Genomic DNA, 17588 nt, shown 5'->3' with positions numbered 1-17588 from the left:
ACCCAGTGCCAGCCCAGAGCTGACCTTAACCAAGGTCTATTAATCAACTAAATGAAGCACATTAAAAAAGCGCTCTCATTCTCACTTGAAGGCTTCCTTAGGCATTTCCAGATCCACAGCTCCTGCCCAGAACCCATAAATTCAAACGAACGCTCTGGCCAAGTTGGCAAACACAGGAAAATGAGATGCAGCCCCAAAGAATCTGACTCTTGCTCATGACCTTCTGCAGAAGTGGGGAATCAGCATGTACCTGCCAGGGTGGCCCTGGGATTTCAGGCCAACCCCAATTCCCAGGCAGACCCCCTCTGGCTGCAGCTAAGCTGCATTCTGGGGAGCCCTTATAATTTACTTCTCAGCTTTTTCTATATACGGGAATGTGTTCAATGACTCACAAGTTTCTTATCATTCAGGACTTTTGGAAAGACTTTCAGAGAAGTACACCTCCCAAATCCTTTGACAAACTGACAGGCGGACAAGTTCAGGTTAGAAAACAGAGTCCCCAGAGCCCGGACTGCCTTGTGGAGGGCTGACCCCTGCAGCAGAATGGGTAGCAGGGCTCAGGGGAAGGCACAAGGAAGGGAGAATGAGTAACTAGGGACAGAAGCAAGGTGCAAATGGGTCCCATAGGCTCACTTTCCTGCCCTAAGGACTGGGACACCTTTGTTCCTCATTTTCCCCAGGCCCCGGTTCAATTTCAACTCCCGAGGATATCAGTGACCAAAGCCCCATGGGGCCAAAACTCACAGCTGAGCTAGGGAAAACCTTTTGAAACTTAATTTTGTCCAGTCAAGGCAAAGTCCCTTAGGTGGCTCTCAGTTTGTCCATCTATAAAATGGGTACTGCTCACCAGGCCTCCAGACTCTGAAAAGCAGATGTGGTCCAATCACCACAGGTTGAGGTGACGGGAAGGAGGCAGGGGAGGATGATTGCAGCTGAGCCATGGGTTAGTACAAGGGTGTCCCCAAAGGACAAAGCCTCCAGAATGCACCTTGGCCCTTGCCATACACCACAGTGACCCAGGACCTCGTGACACCCTCTAATCAGCAGCTCTACAGCCGAGCCCGGCTTTACAGCTTACTACAAGCTTATTCAGCCTCATCTCCCTCAATCCCCTCAAGGACGTAGTGAGGCCGGCACTGGTGTCCTTGCTGCCCAGGCAGCCAAGCCGAGGCTCAAAGAAACCAAGGGAATCAACCAAGGTCACCCACCCATTAAAACAAAGCATAGGACTTAAATCAGTTCCCTGGGGACAAGCTCCTACCTCTGGTCCCTGGTTTACTCTATAACCAGTCTGCCCCACCCATTTTACAGGTAAGGAAACTGAGGCAGAAAAAGGGTTGCCCAAGGTCAACTGGGGGCTGAGCCAGGCCTAACACCTCCCACCATTCTACCAGTCCCACCCTGTTGGGGGTTCTTAGCCGTGCTAGGCCCCCTTTGGATCCTCTCCAACACCATCTTGATGAAATTCCTCCCCCACCCCACCTCCTCATGCCCACCCCACAATCCCTGGGTGACTCCCTGGTCGAGAGGGAGGCAGGTGGTTGCTAAGCACTCACCCGCTCTCTCTCTCATAAAAATAAACTCCTTCTGGCTAGGAGACTCTGGACAAGATCCCCTCCCTTCTAGCCAACAAAAAATTAAAAAGAAATTTTAAAAAGATCTCCTCAGTGACATTTACTTGAACGTCAGCTGTGCCAAAGCGGGGGCCAATTTAGTGAAGTCCAAATGGAGCCATGCGCCAGTAAACCTCAGCCCGAAGACCCTCCATTCAAGTGTCTGGGCAATTACTGAGCTGATTTATTTCCCCAGACAGGAAACGGGGGCCCAGGCTGCCTCCCAAGCTTTTGGGGCTGGTCCTGGGGATGCCGGGATCTGGCAGAGGCCCAACAGTGACCAAAATAGCCAGGCCGGTGGCCCTACCCGGCACACACCTCCCTGCCTGGGAGAGCTGCCCACAGGTCTCCTCTCCAGTCCAGGCTGAAGTCCAGGCTGAAGCTTTGAGGCTGTAGGAGGAGGTCCCTGGAATTCTCTCTGTGTGGCTTCCCTAGTGGGAGGGGGACGAGAATCTCCTACTCAAAAGAGGAACCCACAGAAGGAAGAGAAATAGTCTGGAGGGGGAAGTGTCCTGCTGGCCCTGCCGGCTGTCCACTACCCCTTGGCTGCCCCTCCGGGCCTTGGTCCCACCACTCAGGACTGCTGGACGCTGGCGCTGCCACCTGCACACCACCTATGGAGTGCATGCACCTATGGAGCCACGCTGCCCTATCACCTCTCCCCACTCAGCGCCGGCCCTGGAGAACCAGCTCTGGCCATTGGACCCTCTAGGCACCAGGGACACCCTCTTGGGTACAGCCGAGGACACACGAGTGCCCACAACCAGGGACCTGGAGACACAACCACACTCAGGGACACGCACGTGCACCTAGCCAGGGCCTGGAAGACGCAGCCCCCCACACACAGATTCATGCAGACACAAACGGGGACACACAAGAGCACACATCCAAAGACAGCACACTCAGGTATCACACACAGAGAGGCACACACACACAGCCCAGCACGCAGAGAATAACAGACATGCACCGGAACACACATGTGCACGCTGCTGGGGACACGGTGAAACAGTCACCCTCAGAAACACAGACACAGGGATACGGAGGCACATGTAGGCATCCTGACGGAGACAGGCACACAGATATGCCACACACACACACACACACACACACACACACACACACACACACACACTCTCCTGCCGCCCGCACCAAGAGCCGGAGCCCTTTTGCCGGGGAAACAATAACAGCCCCGCCAGCGGGACTGAGCAGGCGACTCTCGGTCCCTTCCGCGGTGGTGAAAGGGGCGCCGGATGGGCGCACGCGGAGGGGAGGAGGCCGGGACTGCGGCGACGCGGGGATGGGGAGGGGCTGCAGACGGCGGGCAGCGCCGGCTGCGCGCCCAGCTCCCGGTCCCTCCGGTACCTGGGGTGGCTGCGGCGCCGCCCGCGCTCTGCTCGGCTGTGCCGGGTTCCGCCGGCCGGGGGCTGCCTGCCCGCTCGCTCTCTGACCCGCTGGGTGAACGCTCCGCACTCCCTCTTGGCGCAGCTTGTCCTCTGGGCTTGCGGTCCTCGGGGCTCGGCGTTGGCGGCGGCGCGAAGGAAGCGGTAATTTATAAGCGGCTTCTTCCTGACCTCGCGTGTCTGTTGTCTGAGCAGGCAGCTCTCAGCATCACCCATCCTGCTGGGTGGAAAAATACCAGCTCGGCCGGGCCGGGGGCGGGGCCGGGGCGGGGCCGGGGCTTCCAGCCCCGCCCCAAGTGCGGACACACGCGCGCACACATACACATGCACACACATACACGCAAACACGCACGCGCGCATGGGCTCGGACACACAAAGAACCCGGGCTCGCCGAGCGCGCGCGCACACCCTCATGCCGCGCGGCGAACGTTCGTTGCCAGGTGCGGCAGCCCGCCCTGGGCGCCTCCTGCCTGCGGAAGAAGAGCAGGACAGACCCGACCCGACCCGCCTAGTCCTTTCCTTCACAGCAGCCTCCAAACTCCACCGCTCGCCTCTTCCGCCAGGCTCCTAGGATGAGGCCCAGGGCTCCTGGAGCAGCCAGGTGCAAACCAGACCGGGCTCGCACTCCACTGCGTTGCCCTGGGCGATCGTCCACGTTCTGGGAGACTCGGTATGCCCCGGGAGGGTGGCCTGAGCTTGTGGTGTGAAGCCAGGTACAGAGCTCCAGAATCCTGGCCTTGCCATGGCTGTGTGACCCTGGGCAAGTGACTCAATTTCTCTGCCTCAGTGTCCTCATCTATAAAATGGAAAGGAAAATAGTAGCGCTTGTCTCCTCCGGCTGTTATGAAGATCCAAGGTTAACAGCGTAGAGAACTCGGAACGCACCCGGCATCTAGGAAGTGCCAAGCCAGTGTCAGCTAATGTGACTATTTTTAAATGGAGATGGGGAGTGTGCCATTATTCTTGTCCTTATTTGAATGAACGGGCCCTCAGGGACCATTTTCCACTGCCCCGCCCTGGCAGCATGAGAGGGAAACGCTGTGAGAACCCCGAACCCCAGCCTTCTCCTGTCCCTCTCTCTCTCTCTCTCTCTCTGCACCTGGGAGGCGGGGAGGAGAGAGCCGATCCTTCCACCATTTACACGGAGAATGAAAGAAGAAATACCGGCCAGGCGCGGTGGCTCATGCCTGTAATCCCAGCACTTTGGGAGGCCGAGGGGGCAGATCACCTGAGGTCAGGAGTTCGAGACCAGCCTGGCCAACATGGCGAAACTCCGTCTCTACTAAAAGTACAAAAATTAGCCTGGCGTGGTGCCGGGTGCCTATAATCCCAGCTACTCAGGAGGCTGAGGCAGGAGAATCCCTTGAACCCGGGAGGCGGAGGTTGCAGTGAGCCGAGATCACGCCACTGCACTCCAGCCTGGGTGACAAGAATGAGTCTCAAAAAAACAAAAAAGAAGAAGAAGAAGAAATACCACACAGGTCCGACCAAGAGCTGCCCCCACTCAGGCCAGGATCCCTGCCTGGAAGGGCTCTGCAGCCACTCTCCCTGTACAGCCCCAGGATGCTAAGGAGCATCCCGAAGTGACACTGGCTCTCCCTGGAGGCCCCTGCCATCGGACTCCAACCTGACCTTCCAGTGGGTGCTCCTCATACTGGCTCCAGCCAAGACAGACGAGGACCACTGGGCACATGCCCTTCCTTGCCTTCCTGTCACCCTTCCCACCCTTCTCTGCGGGCCCCGGGTGGCCCCTTCCTCCAGGAAGCACCTGGGGATCAGCAGTGCCTCTAGGGTCCCAGTGGCCCACGTGACATCTGCTTCTGGCCACCTGAGCACTCTCCTTTGAGTTCAGGGTCACTGTACCCTTTTATAGGTGAGCAAACGAAAGCTGAGGAAGAGGAGTGACTGGGTCTCCCACATCCCTCTGCTTCAGCTATGAGGTTCCCTCATGAACTGCAGGAATAGACGTCAAGCAAAAACTCCTCAGACGCCCTGTGCATGTGTGGTCGCACAGGGCACAAAGACTGAAGCAAAGGGGCAGGTCCTAGCGTGGGGAGGGGACTCCAGGATTGAAGTTTGAACCAAAAGGAGGCTTTGACTAAGCCACGAGCAGTGAAGCCGGCAGGAGAGGAAGCAAGTTCTAGCAGAGGTGCCTGCCGTGCGAAGGCCTGAGAGCAAGGTTGTTGGTGGCAGGGCTGAGCTTGAGGGTCTGAGAGAGTGAGCAAGGGCAGTGGCTGTGGGAGGAGGGAAGAGTTGTGTGTTCAGAGCTGCAACTTGGAAAGGCCCATGGGATCCTTTGACCTCCAGGTAGGCCAGCGGAGCCTCATGCAGGTAGTGCCAGCGCAAGACACACGAGTGAACCATCTATCCAGTTACCAGCTCCATGAGGGATGGGATCTGTTCTTTTGCCTCCATCAACTCCTGGAGTCTATCATAGGCCTGACACACAGTAGGTACTCAATAAGTGTTTGCTGCATTTATTTTAACGTACTTTTCTTTTTTTTCTTTTAAAACGGAGTTTCGCTCTTGTTGCCCAGGCTGGAGTCCAATGGCGCAATCTCAGCTCACTGTAACCTCCGCTTCCTGGGTTCAAGTGATTCTCCTGCCTCAGCCCCGCTAGTAGCTGGCATTACAGGCATGCGCCACCACGCCTGGCTAATTTTGTGTTTTTAGTAGAGATGGGGTTTCTCCATGTTGATCAGGCTGGTCTCAAACTCCCAACCTCAGGTGATCTGCCTGCCTCGGCCTCCCAAAGTGCTGAGATTACAGGCGTGAGCCACCGTGCCTGGCTTTAACTTACTTTTCTTTGGCACTTAACTATGTACCCTGCACAGTTAAATGCATTTTAATAAGTTAACCCTTTTCATCCCGACAACACCCCTATGAGATTGGTACAATTATTTCTTCCGTTTTATAGAAGGTAAAACCGAGCCACAGAGAAGTTAAGTAACTTCCCCAAGGTCACTCAGCTGGCAGATAGTAGAGCTGGAATTCAAACCTAGGCCACCTGGCTCCAGAGGTTACAATCTTGAATGAGGGGATTCTGGGTGGGCGATTGCCAGACAAAAAAACCCAGCCCCAAGGAGAGAAAGGAGGAGAAGGAGGCAAGAAGAGCCCCAACCTCAGCCCCAGGGAGAGGTGGCAGATGAGGTGGAAAAGGGATGGTCAGACCGGAGAAGGGGCCAGGAGGAGCCAATGCCAAAGCTAGAGGCATGCACAGGGTGGAGAGAGCTCAGTGCGGGAGGCCACAGACCCTAGCTCCACCTCAGCCCTGTGGCTTCCCAGTTGTGTGACTTGGGCCTGCAGGCCTGCTCTCTGAGCCTCAGTTTCCTCATTGTAATATGAGATAAAATACACCCTGCCTCAATGAGCCATTCTGAGGAGAGGAGAAGTCTCGAACTGGAGGCCTTAAACCGAATCCAGCTCCCAGATGTGCTTCTTTGGCTGTCACTGAGCTTTAATGTGTTTGGAGTTAATTTTTATGAATAAAAGCTTGGAAGATTTCACATTTAAAAAATCTGGCCAGGCTGGGCAACAAAGTAAAATTCCATCTCTATGAAAATTTTTTTTAGAAATTCGCCGGGTATGGTGGTGCATGCCTATGGTCCCAGCTACTCAGGAGGCTGAGGCAGGAGGATCACTTGAGCCCGGGAGGTGAAGGCTGCGGTAAGCTATGACTACACCACTGCACTCCAGCCTAGGTGCGAGAGCAAGACCCTGTCTCCAAACAACAACAACAACAACAAAATCTGAATGCCTGGTTTATCTTGAAATATGGCAAAATGGGGCCACCCAGGCCCATTAACCCCCTGTCTACAATGTCCTGGAGCTGAGGGGCATTAGCCACCCTCTCACATGGGCTCCCCAGGGTGCCACAGCTCCCTCCTAGCTAGTTTGCTCTTTTCTGTCACCTACCGGCCCTTGCAGGGAGCTGAATTTGAGACCCATGATGCACTTTGTGCACCCTGCCCCCTCAAAGATAACTGTGAGTACCAAGGGAAATGGAAAGCTTTGGCAACAAGAAGGGAGCTTCAAGGAAAGCCAGGCCGAGGTTCCCCTCAGAACCATAGACTAGCCTGAAATTCCACTGGGACTAATTCTTCTCATTTCAAGAATGAAAATCGATTGCTGGACAGAGCTCCCGGAGGGCCAATTTTCAGGCTGTAGTCTACAGCCGTCCACGTAGAGGCAGTGAACGAAATTTTTCAAAGCCTACTTTATGATTACTTTCTTTAGCAGCTCTCAACAGTAAAATAAAATTGATCTAGGACTTTGAACAAAACTTCTCGCCCCTTTCTAGGGAAGAGTTTGTCTCGTCTATCAGGCCACCAACAAGAGTTGTTGCAATGCCTGTGGGAGGTGCAGCCCACGCTGGGCCACCTGGCCAGCTCAGGGATCCTGCTGGAGATCGAGGATTGTCTGGTCGGCCTCTTACAACTCTCAGAACATCATCCCTGGGAGCAGCCCTGAAGAGACCAAGGGTCAGTGGCGGGGCTGCTGAGTGGCTGCCTCCCTGACCTGGCCAGCATTTCCTGGGCACACTGCAGTGTGTCCACGTCCCTGGGTGTGTAGGTGGCTGCAGAGCCTTGTCAGAGCATCTGGGCCTTCAGGGATCTGCTTCCTGCCCACTACCCTCCTCTTGCCTGCCTGCAAATCTCAGCTCCATCCCTCATGGGCTGTGTGACCTAGAGTGAATAATGTGACCTCTCTGTGCCTTGGTTTCTTGATTTGTACAGCCTGATTAATCATAACCCCTCTCCTGCAGATTGTTGTGTGGAGTGAGTGGAGATGATTGATGTGAAGCGTTGAGCCAGGTCCCTGGCACACAGTCTAACACTCTGGAAAGCAGGACCCCCACCTACCCCTGCCACCTGTGTGCTCCAGGCTTTCTTGCCTCCAGGCCTTCACCCTTGCTGCTCCCTCCTGCCAAGCACTTTGCCCATTGCCCTTCTGCAACCTGGGTCTCTGCCAAACTTGGAGCCCCAGAAAGGGAGCACGCAGGAAGCGGGGATGCCAAGCAGTCCCAGCATGGGGCCTGGAGCACAGTGGACCCCAGGAAACCCTTGCAGGATGTGGTCTGTGGGTGGCAAGTGCCTGGGCTCACTTCCTCTTCTCCCTCAGTGGGCACAGCAAAACTGCCCCAGAACTGGACAGACAGGGAAGGTGTCAGTACTGGAGACAGCTCTGCAGGGGACCGGGGACCCACAGTACATTTATTCATTCACTAGCACTGCAGACAGATGCTCTCCAGCTTCACAGACACCCCAGGCCAGGCCATGTTCTCTCCCTTCTGGGTGACTGCAGGGGATGCTTTCCTCCCTGGCTTCCTCTCCTCCCCGACAGCCCATCTCCACTCCTGGGACTCTCTATGGCATATAGCCATTGCAGCAAACAATTTGGTAGTTTCTCTTCTTTTCTTTTCTTTCTTTTTTCTCTTTTTTTTTCTGAGACAAAGTCTCTAAAAAATGCTGTGTTGCCCAAACTGGCCTTGAACTCCTGGGCTCCAGTGATCCTCGCACCTCAGCCTCCTAAGTAACCGGGGCTATAGGCACACCACCACACCCAGCTACTCTGGCAGTTTCTGATAAGGTTATAAATTTATTGTAAGATTAAACACAACACTATGAGCCAGCAATTGCACGCTCAGGTAATTGGCCAGAAAGAAATGAAAATATTTGTTCACCCAAAGACTTGTGAATGGCAGTGGTATTCATACAGTCCAAAACGGAAACAGCCCTGGTTGTATCTATCAATAGAATGGAAAAACAGATGGAAGGACTGCAACTCACAGGTGAAAAGGAACCGGCTACGAGAGGCTCCAAACCAAGGGAGCAGCGGAGTTTGTCTCCAAAACACCGAGCCCAGTGAGAGAAGCCAGAGCCACAGACCAGATGCCCTGCAGTGGGTCCCTTTACATGGCCTTCAAAGTCAGGCAGAGTGAATTGAGGGCCATGGGAATAGGAGCAGTGGTTGCCTCCAGAGGTGAAGTGGGATGGGGTGAGGTGGTGTGGGGTGGTGTGGGGTGGGTGGGGTATGAGAGAACCTGCGGGATGGGAAGGGGCTCCATCCTTACCTGGGGCAGGTCACTCCAGTGTGTGCTGTCGCGTTTCACTGTAGGAAGTGTAGACCTCAGTAAAAATCCCAAGGAAAACCCCCAGACCCACTCAGGCTTCCTTCCTGCTTTGAACCACCTCATGGCCCCCACCACACTGCCACTAAGCCACACTCCTGGCAGCCTCTGAGATACCCCCTACCTGACCCTCCGCCACTCTCCTCCTCTGCCTCCCTCACTCCCAGCCTCTCTGGCCCCCTGGCTTTCCCTCCAACTCCAGGCTCCCCTCTCTCTGCCTCAGGGCCTTTGCCCCTGTCTTGCTCCCTGCCCCAGGCTCTTCCCCTCAGCCCTTCCCAGGTCTGGCTCCTTCTCCCTAGGCCTCAGCTCCAGTGTCTCATCCCCAGAGACCTTCCCAGACCACCATGTCTCAGACAGCCCCGGCTGCCTCCTGCCTGCCCTGCACCAGCCCTGAGCCATCGCCTCATTTTATTCTCATTCTAACTTGGATAATGGGTGAGTGGACCTTGATCATTTACATATTGACCTGTTTATGTCTGTTTTCACACTAGACTGCCCACTTCATGTGTCCCCAGGGCCTACAGCAGTGGCCAGCCCCATGGCAGATGTCCAACAAATTCTGCTGAATGAACGGAGCTGGAGCTGCCTACAATTTTCCCCCACGCTCCCACCCCCATTCCACAAACTGCAAAACTAACCATTTGTTTAGCTATGGAGAAAGGGGCCAGTCTTTAAGACTGTGCATTCGGCTCCACCCACAAGAGCCCCCTCCCCTCCCCATCTCCCCTGCAGAGACCTGGTTCCAAGCCCTGAGTGGATCCTTAGTGGCTGTGTAACCCAGAGGGACCTCCACCTCCCTCTGCCTCAGTCTCCCCATGGATGGCATGAGGTTAGCCAAGGTGACCTTCCAGCCCTGCTTCAACTGAAAAGTGCATATACTCACGACAGGATGTTGTTAACATACGAATTTGACTCAGCAGGTCTGGGGTGGGGTTGGAGATTCTGAATTTCTTATTTATTTATTATTTTTATTGATTATCATTATTATTATTGAGATGGAGTTTTGCTCTTGTTGCCCAGGCTGGAGTGCAGTGGTGCGATCTCGGCTCACTGCAACCTCCGCCTCCTGGGTTCAAGTGATTCTCCCGCCTCAGCCTCCCGAGTAGCTGGGATTACAGGCATGCGCCACCATGCCCGGCTAATTTTGTGTTTTTAGTAGAGATGGGGTTTCTCCATGTTGGTCAGGCTGCTCTCAAACTTGCGACCTCAGGTGATCTGGCCACCTCAGCCTCCCAAAGTGCTGGGATTACAGGGGCGAGCCACTGCGCCCGGCCTTCTATTTATTATTTATATTTATATTTATTTATTTATTTATTTTTGAGACAGGGTCTTGCTCTGTCACCCAAGCTGGAGTGAAGTGGCACAATCACAGCTCACTGCAGCCTCGACCTTCTAGGCTCAAGCCATTCTCTCACCTCAGCCTCCCAAGTAGCTGGGACTATAGCCATAAGCCACCATGCCCAGCTAATTTTTGTATTTTTTGTAGAGACGAGGGTTTCACCATGTTGCCAAAGCTGGTTTCAAACTCCTGAGCTCAAGCAGTCCACCTGCCTTGGCCTCCCAAAGTGCTGGGATTACAGGTGTGAGCCATCACATCCCACATTTTTATTTTGTTTATTTTTTTATTTTTATTTTTTGAGACAGTCTCGCCTTGTCGCTCAGGTTGGAGTACAATGGTGTGATCTCGGCTCACTGCAACCTCCGCCTCCCAGGTTCAAATGATTCTCCTGCCTCAGCCTCCTGGGTGGCTGGGATTACAGGCGCCTGCCACTACACCTAGCTAATGTTTGTATGTTTAGTAGAGATGGGGTTTCACCATGTTGGCCAGGCTGGTCTCGAACTCCTGACCTTGTGATCCACCCCCCTCGCCTCCCAAAGTGCTGGGATTATAGGTGTGAGCCACTGCGCCCAGCCAAGCCAAAAGCCTACAGCACCCGTTATTCCCAGGTGGTCTCCCATCTAAGTACTAACCAGGCCCAAACCTGCTTAGCTTCACGAGATCAGGCACGTTCCTGGTAGTATGGCCATAGACTGCTTTTTTAACTAGAGACTAGGTGTCTCTATGTTGCCCAGGTTGATCTCAAACTTCTGGGCTCAAGCAATCCTCCAGCCTTAGCCTCCTCAAATGCTGGTATTACAGGTGTGAGCTACTGCGCCAAGATTCTGAATTTCTAACAAGCTTCTGGGAGACACCCCAGGCTGTGGGTCCACAAGCCACAAAAGGAGTCCTGAGAATGCAGGCGAGAGGCTCTCAAAGTCTGGCCCCCAGACTAGCAGCTTCACCTGGGAACTTGTTAGAAAAGCAAAGCACCAGCCCAACCCAGACCTCCTGAATCAGAAACTCTGTGGTGGGACACAGTCCTATCTAACAAGCCCTCCAGGAGCTTCCGAGGCAGCTGGCGTTTCAGAACCACTGCTACAGGAGGTACCAGTTCTCAACCTTGGTGGCCCAAGGAGAAACTGAAAAAAATCTGATGCCTGGGGTCCCACGCTCAGAAATTCTCATTTAAATGGGCATGAGATGGTGGTGGCGGCTGCTGCTTCTTTTTCTTCTCCTTCTCCTTCTTCTTCTTTTCTTCTTTCTCCTTCGTTGTTTAAAATAAAGCTCTCCAGGCAACGTGAATGTCTCATCAGTGCCGGATCCTTGAGCTAGAGGGTGCTGGGCCTCCAAGCATTCCGGTGGCCCAGACATCCCCAGGCAGGCCTGATTCCTCTGCATTCTTGCCCAGGCCTCCCAGTGACTGCCTTCTTATATTTGGTTATTTCTCCCTCCCTCCCCAAACACAACAATTCAAAATATTCTCAGCTCCCAGACCATAAACAAAGCGGGAGAGGAGAGTTCCCTGACTATTTTGTTCCCACTTATGGCCTGATCCAAGGCTGACCTGATTGGGCCCTCGGGACTGGTCATCTGAGCCGGGGTGGGGTGGGCCCCGTTCTCAGGCTGCCCCAGCTCCACTCCTGGATTCCCAGGATCCCTCAGCTCTAGATGACCCCAGGTATTCCCCAAAGCCACTTCCCCAGGGAAACAGAGGTCAGCAAGTGACTTGTCCCATGACACAGCGCAATGCCCAGAAGGTCCCTCTGATCTGTGGTTTCTAGCCTTGGGGGCAGATGTGTGGGATCTGGGATTCAGAGAGATGTGTGTTCAATTCCAGGATCTGCCTCTTACCAACTGTGACCTTAGGCACAGGATCAGCCCCAAATTGAGCCTCATTTTGTCCATCTGTAAAATGAGGATGGCACTAGAGCCCCGTCTAGGGTGAATGTGAAGGTCAGAGCCTGCACAAGGTGAGTGTTCATAATTATCACTGTCATTCTGATGATTTCTGCCAGGATGACAAAACCAGCAAGAATGAGCAAGAAGAGAGGGGCAGGGGGCACAGGAGGTTGTCCATCTGAGTCTCAGGTGCTTGACCTGGGCCCAGGGGCTCATTCTGGAGTATGGGAAGGGAAGAGACAGGTCCAGGTTACCAAAGGGGATCCTAGACAGGCCCTGGGGAAGGAGAGAAGTTAATACCCTTGTTGTGCAAGTGGCACCTCGGGTGGAGGTGACATTTGCCACATGGGAACTTGAACCTGGTCTCTAGAGGCATTATCATCCCTCGTGCTTTGATGCTATTTGTAGCCTTTAAGCCTGTTATTCTACACTTGTGTATTGAAAGGCTCGGGCCCAGCACTTTCCTTATTTGATAAATGTGTTGTCCCCTGTGGGTCAGTGGTCGAGAAAACCACTGGGATGACACCAGGACACCCCTGACACTGGCAGAGTTCTACCCCGAGACAACAAATGCTGCAAATACTGTCTCAGTATTGAAAAGTTATATGTCAGGCTAATACGCTGTTAGGTACAAACCACCCTGCCCTCCCGCCTTGGTGTGCTTATTTTCATGGTGAGCTGGAGGCCAGCTTAGAATGTAAATTCCCAGGCTCCTTGGAGCTGGATCCTGCAAGCGGTGGCTGGGGAGTGCCAGCCCCCATCTGAGGCCCTGGCCTGTGGCCTGCCCCTCACCCCTCCTCTCCTGCCATTCCAAGCTCCGTCCTACCCCTTGAGCAGCTCTGGTCCATGCAGAGGGACAACCCACCTTCCATTCAAGCTCAGCCCCCAAGCACAGCCCACCTTTCCCCCCTAAGCCTGGGTACACACCAGTGTGCCTCTCCGCCCTCAGCTGAATGAATGGGGGAGAGGCCCACGGGCAGGGACTCTGGGGCCTGGGGTACCCAGGGTTCAATTTAGAAGCTAGAGGGCGCTGGCTTATGATGGTCACATCCCCTGGACCCTGTGGAATGTGTATATGACCTTGTGGGAAGGTGTGCAGCCACAGGAGGGCCCCTCTGGGAACCCATAGGCATGGGCTCCTCTGTCTGGGGCCTAAGGGTAGTCCTAGTGCCTCCCACACAGCACCAATGCAGAGCCGAATGCAGGAAAGGGCTGGTCATGGAAAGACATACAATTTGTGTTATTATTATTATTTTATTTATTTATTTATTTATTTTGAGACAGAGTTTTGCTCTTGTTGCCCAGCCTGGAGTGCAATGGTGCGATCTTGGCTCACCGCAACCTCCGCCTCCCAGGTTCAAGTGATTTTCCTGCCTCAGCCTCCCAAGTAGCTGGGGTTACAGGTGTGCACCACCATGCCCGGCTAATTTTGTATTTGTGGTAGAGACTGGGTTTCACCGTGTTGATCAGGCTGGTTTTGAACTCCTGACCTCAAGTGATCCACCCGCCTCAGCCTCCCAAAGTGCTGGGATTACAGGCGTGAGCCACCTCGCCCGGCCTCGTATTATTATTGATGGTGACATGGAAAGCCTCCAAGGCTGGCCCTACATAAGACAGAGAAAAACAGGAACTCACAATCCGGCAGGGGGAAGGCATGAATATTTACTGAGCTCCTACTGTGTGCCAGGCACTGAGCCAAGTGCTCACAGATGCTCTCTCATGGACCTCTCCTAATAGCCTGGGAGGAGGGATCCATTTCGTGGATGAGCTGGGATTTGAATCTAAGTGTATCAGACCCTAAGCTATGAGCCCTGCTCCTTCCCGTGGGCCAGAGGAGCAACAAAAGCTAAGAGGAGATGACAGAGCAGCAGAGATAGGGCAGGAAGGAGATCGCCACACAGCCAGGACGAGGGTGAAAGGGGTGTCTGGTTTTGGACATGAGCCCTATGACCTCTGTCATTTACTGTGTGACCTTACTGACAAGATGCAGGACGGCTGCCTGCAGGCACCCCGCTTTTCCTTACTGATGGACTAGGGAAGTGAGAAGGAAAAAAAATCTTCACTTGGGTTATAATAACCTTTTGTGTGAGCCAAATTTTGCCCAAGTCCAGCTGCCTTGGAGCACAGTCATAATTCTGCAGTCCACCGGCTGTCACTGCTCGTGCTTACGACACACACACTGAATCTGTTTGTTCAGCCTTCAGGGTTTAATGCCCTGCTGTGTCCATGTGCTCAGCTCATAGCCACCATGCATGACTTGGGACTTCTGAATGGGACCAAGAAATATCTAACATGCGATTTCCTGGAAAGCACATAGGAGTTTGGCCCAGATCCAGACTTGGCAGGTAACTTGCTGTGTGACTGTGGACAAATGACTGAACCTTTCTGGGCATCAATTCCCTCAAACATAGAGGGAAGGTGGGCAGGGATGGGACACCCACCCCTGAAGCCTCAATCATGAGAAGCATCCCAGAATGAGACGTATTCAGGTAATAAGGGAGTTTTTCTCTTTTTTTTTTGTTATTTAAAAAATGGATATGTAATAGTTTTATATATTTTTGGGGTCCATGTGATATTGTGATACCTGTATATGATGTGCTGTGATTAGATCAGGGTAATTGGGATCTCCATCACCTCAAACATTTATCTTTTCTGACCAGGCATGGTGACTCACACCTGTAATCCCAGCACTTTGGGAGGCTGAGGCGGGCAGATCACTTGACATCAGGAGTTTGAGACCAGCCTGGCCAACACGGTCTCTACTAAAAATACAAAAATTAGCCGGGCATGGTGGTGTGCGCCTGTAGTCCCAGCTACTCCGGAAGCTGAGGCAAGAGAATAGCTTGAATCCTGGAGGTGGAGGTTGCAGTGAGCTGAGACTGTGCCACTGCACTCCAGCCTGGGTGACACAGAAAGACTACATCTCAAAAAAAAAAAAAAAATTCTCTTTTCTTTGTGTTGGGAACATTTCAATTCTTTTCTTCTAGCTACTTTGAAATATACAATAAATGATTGTTAACTATAACTTCCTTATTATAAATTTTCCCTTTTCAATTCTCATTTATTCAGTTGCTCAATCAAGAAGAAGCTGCCAGGCACAGTGGCTTGTGCCTGTAACCCCAGAACTTTGAGAGGCTGAGCGGGGTGGATCACCCAAAGTCAGGAGTTCAAGACCAGCCTGGCCAACATGGTGAAATGCCGTCTCTACTAAAAATACAAAAATTCGCTGGGTGTGGTGGTGGGTGCTTGTAATCCTAGCTACTCAGGAGGCTGAGACAGGAGAATCCCTTGAACCCAGAGGCAGAGGTTACAGTGAGCCGAGATCGTGCCACTGCCCTCCAGCCTGGGCAACAAAGAGTGAAACTCTTGTCTAAAAAAAAAAAGAAGAAGAAGAAGGAGAAGGAGAAGGAGCGGGAGAAGGAGAAGAAGAAGAAGAAGAAGAAGCCTCAGTGAAGTGCTCCAGCATCTTCACCCCCTTGGTCACTTGCTCATCTCCTTGATGAACAAAAGCGGCCCCAGATCAGAGCCATCGAGCACCTGCAGCCAGCAAGGTTGGCTGGTTTTCATTGTGTGCATTTTTAAGGCGTCTTCTATTTATAGAAAGGATTGTGGTCTTGCATTTGTAGCAGCGATGAAAGCTTTACTTTTTGGCAAAATGTGTGCAAGTTGTTTAGAAGTGAGTCTGTTTGAAAAAAAAAATTAAATGAATAATGATTTAGGAGGTGAGTTTGTTTCCTAGGGCTGCTGTGATGAAGTGCCACAAACCTGGTGGCTTAAAACAACAGAAATGTGTTCTCGCACAATCCAGAGGCTGGAGTCCTAAGTCAAGGTGGTGGCTCCCTCTGAGGCTCCTGGTGGAATCCTTCTTTGCCTCTTCCTGGCATCTGGTGGCCTCTCTCAGTTCTTGGCGTTCCTTGGCTTGCAGCTGCGTCACTGCACTCCTGGCCTCTGTCATCACATAGCCATCTTCCTCTGTGTCCCTGTGTCCAAATTTTCCTCTTCTTATAAGGACTCTAGTCTATTGCATTAGGACCCACCCTAATGACGTCATCTTAACTTGATTACATCTGCAAGGACACTATCTCCAAATAAGGTCACATTCACAGGTAGCAGGAGTTAGGACTTCAACATCTCTTTTGGAGGAAACACAACGTGACCCATAACAGATGGGTTGCAGCAAAAGGAAAATTTATGCAGGAAGACCTGACAGCTAAAAGTCTGGGGAGAGCTGCTCAGGCCAATCTCTTGGGAGAGGGACTCCGGCCCTGTGCAGGGTGGCTGGGGGCGACTTGGACAATCCCAACGTCTCTCCCTGAGTCATGGTTCCCTAGGATTTTCAAACTGGGTTCCATAGAGTCCCTAGGAGATCTGGGGAGATCCAGATCTCCAGACACCCAACATCACCTCCACTTTGCTCCAACCACTATAGGGGCAGTGGCAAAATTGTTTGACTAAAAGGCACCCAAATAATTTTAAAGATAAAAGCACTTTAAAATCATCAGGTTAGGCCAGGCGTGGTGGCTCACGCCTGTAATCCCAGCACTTTGGGAGGCCGAGGCAGGTGGATCACCTGAGGTCAGGAGTTCGAGACCAGCTTGGCAAACATGGTGAAACACCATCTCCACTAAAAATATAAAACTTAGCCGGGTGAAGTGGTGTGTGCCTGTGGTCCCAGCTACTCAGGAAGCTGAGGCACGAGAAACACTTGAACCCGGGAGGTAGAGGTTGCAGTGAGCCAAGATCTAGCCACTCCACTCCAGCCTGGGTGACAGAGCAAGACTCTGTCTTGAAAAAAAAAAAAAAAAATTAGGTTAGAGGATCTGTGTCTCCTCCCAGCCCCACACATTCTGATTTTAATGTACCCTCCTGCTCTGGCTAGGAAGAAAGGACCAGGGCTGCTGCTTAATTTTCTCTGGGAAGAAAGTGTCTATTTGCCTGTTTACACAGATTTCCCCCTCAGGAACGGTCCCCGTCTCAGCTGCAGAGGAAGCAGGAGAACTCAGCTTGGGCAGTGTCGCCTTTTGCTCCCAGGCTTCCACCACTCTGGGGACCTTTCAGTTCCTCTGACTCGCAGCTGCCTCCCTTCTGACCACAGGGAGCTTGCTCACACTGTTCCTTCTGCTGGGAACATTCTGACACCCTTCACTTGGCAGGTTTCTGTGCATCCTTTGGTCCTGTCCTTGGGGAAGTCTTCCCTGGTACTCCCTATGTGAGCAAGACCCCAC

General features: G+C 52.9%; 1 protein-coding gene, 1 long non-coding RNA gene and 1 pseudogene across 6 annotated transcripts in view, besides 6 other annotated features; 1 reads left to right on the top strand and 2 right to left on the bottom strand.

Annotated features, from left to right (window-relative positions):
• Window positions 1–3247, bottom strand: part of SLC6A6 (solute carrier family 6 member 6) — an 86774-nt gene extending 83527 nt beyond the window's left edge. For 3 of the 4 annotated variants that reach the window (NR_103507.3, NM_003043.6, NM_001134368.4), the window contains exon 1: window positions 2976–3217. Coding sequence is in view for 1 of the 4 variants with exons in the window: in NM_001134367.3 (NP_001127839.2) it covers window positions 2976–3229 (254 nt within the window). In the remaining 3 variants the exon portion in view is untranslated. Of the gene's footprint in view, window positions 1–2975 lie in introns of all 4 variants that reach the window. The other variant, NM_001134367.3, reaches the window with a different exon arrangement.
• Window positions 2034–2113: an enhancer, noted in NCBI's record as "active region_19508". NCBI's record gives its function as "activates an Ori minimal core promoter by ATAC-STARR-seq in GM12878 lymphoblastoid cells {active_cell/tissue: GM12878}" and the evidence as "EXISTENCE:reporter gene assay evidence [ECO:0000049][PMID:35858748]".
• Window positions 2184–2243: an enhancer, noted in NCBI's record as "active region_19507". NCBI's record gives its function as "activates an Ori minimal core promoter by ATAC-STARR-seq in GM12878 lymphoblastoid cells {active_cell/tissue: GM12878}" and the evidence as "EXISTENCE:reporter gene assay evidence [ECO:0000049][PMID:35858748]".
• Window positions 2894–3423: a silencer, noted in NCBI's record as "silent region_14093". NCBI's record gives its function as "represses an Ori minimal core promoter by ATAC-STARR-seq in GM12878 lymphoblastoid cells {active_cell/tissue: GM12878}" and the evidence as "EXISTENCE:reporter gene assay evidence [ECO:0000049][PMID:35858748]".
• LOC105376959 (uncharacterized) lies at window positions 3416–16081 on the top strand. 2 transcript variants are annotated; one of them, XR_007095825.1, is made up of 8 exons: window positions 3416–5162; window positions 6586–6679; window positions 7314–7494; window positions 8770–8914; window positions 9443–9578; window positions 12302–12434; window positions 14561–14708; window positions 15433–16081. It is a non-coding gene; the product is annotated as an uncharacterized LOC105376959 (long non-coding RNA). The 2 variants fall into 2 exon arrangements; XR_007095824.1 differs by lacking the exons at window positions 3416–5162; window positions 6586–6679; window positions 7314–7494; window positions 8770–8914 and having other exon boundaries at window positions 9065–9578; window positions 14600–14708.
• Window positions 3564–3733: an enhancer, noted in NCBI's record as "active region_19506". NCBI's record gives its function as "activates an Ori minimal core promoter by ATAC-STARR-seq in GM12878 lymphoblastoid cells {active_cell/tissue: GM12878}" and the evidence as "EXISTENCE:reporter gene assay evidence [ECO:0000049][PMID:35858748]".
• Window positions 3744–3793: an enhancer, noted in NCBI's record as "active region_19505". NCBI's record gives its function as "activates an Ori minimal core promoter by ATAC-STARR-seq in GM12878 lymphoblastoid cells {active_cell/tissue: GM12878}" and the evidence as "EXISTENCE:reporter gene assay evidence [ECO:0000049][PMID:35858748]".
• Window positions 10773–11512: an enhancer, noted in NCBI's record as "H3K27ac hESC enhancer chr3:14435811-14436550 (GRCh37/hg19 assembly coordinates)". NCBI's record gives its function as "activates a minimal SCP1, AML or CMV promoter by ChIP-STARR-seq in naive H9 embryonic stem cells {active_cell/tissue: H9 hESC(naive)}" and the evidence as "EXISTENCE:reporter gene assay evidence [ECO:0000049][PMID:30033119]".
• On the bottom strand, window positions 11066–11175 carry RNA5SP124 (RNA, 5S ribosomal pseudogene 124; annotated as a pseudogene).
• Window positions 16082–17588: the final 1507 nt, after the last annotated feature.

This window comes from Homo sapiens, chromosome 3 (assembly GCF_000001405.40).
Source record: "Homo sapiens chromosome 3, GRCh38.p14 Primary Assembly".
Taxonomy (NCBI): domain Eukaryota; kingdom Metazoa; phylum Chordata; class Mammalia; order Primates; family Hominidae; genus Homo; species Homo sapiens.
Note: the sequence above shows the minus strand (reverse complement) of the source record. Positions and strands in the feature narration are given on the sequence as shown.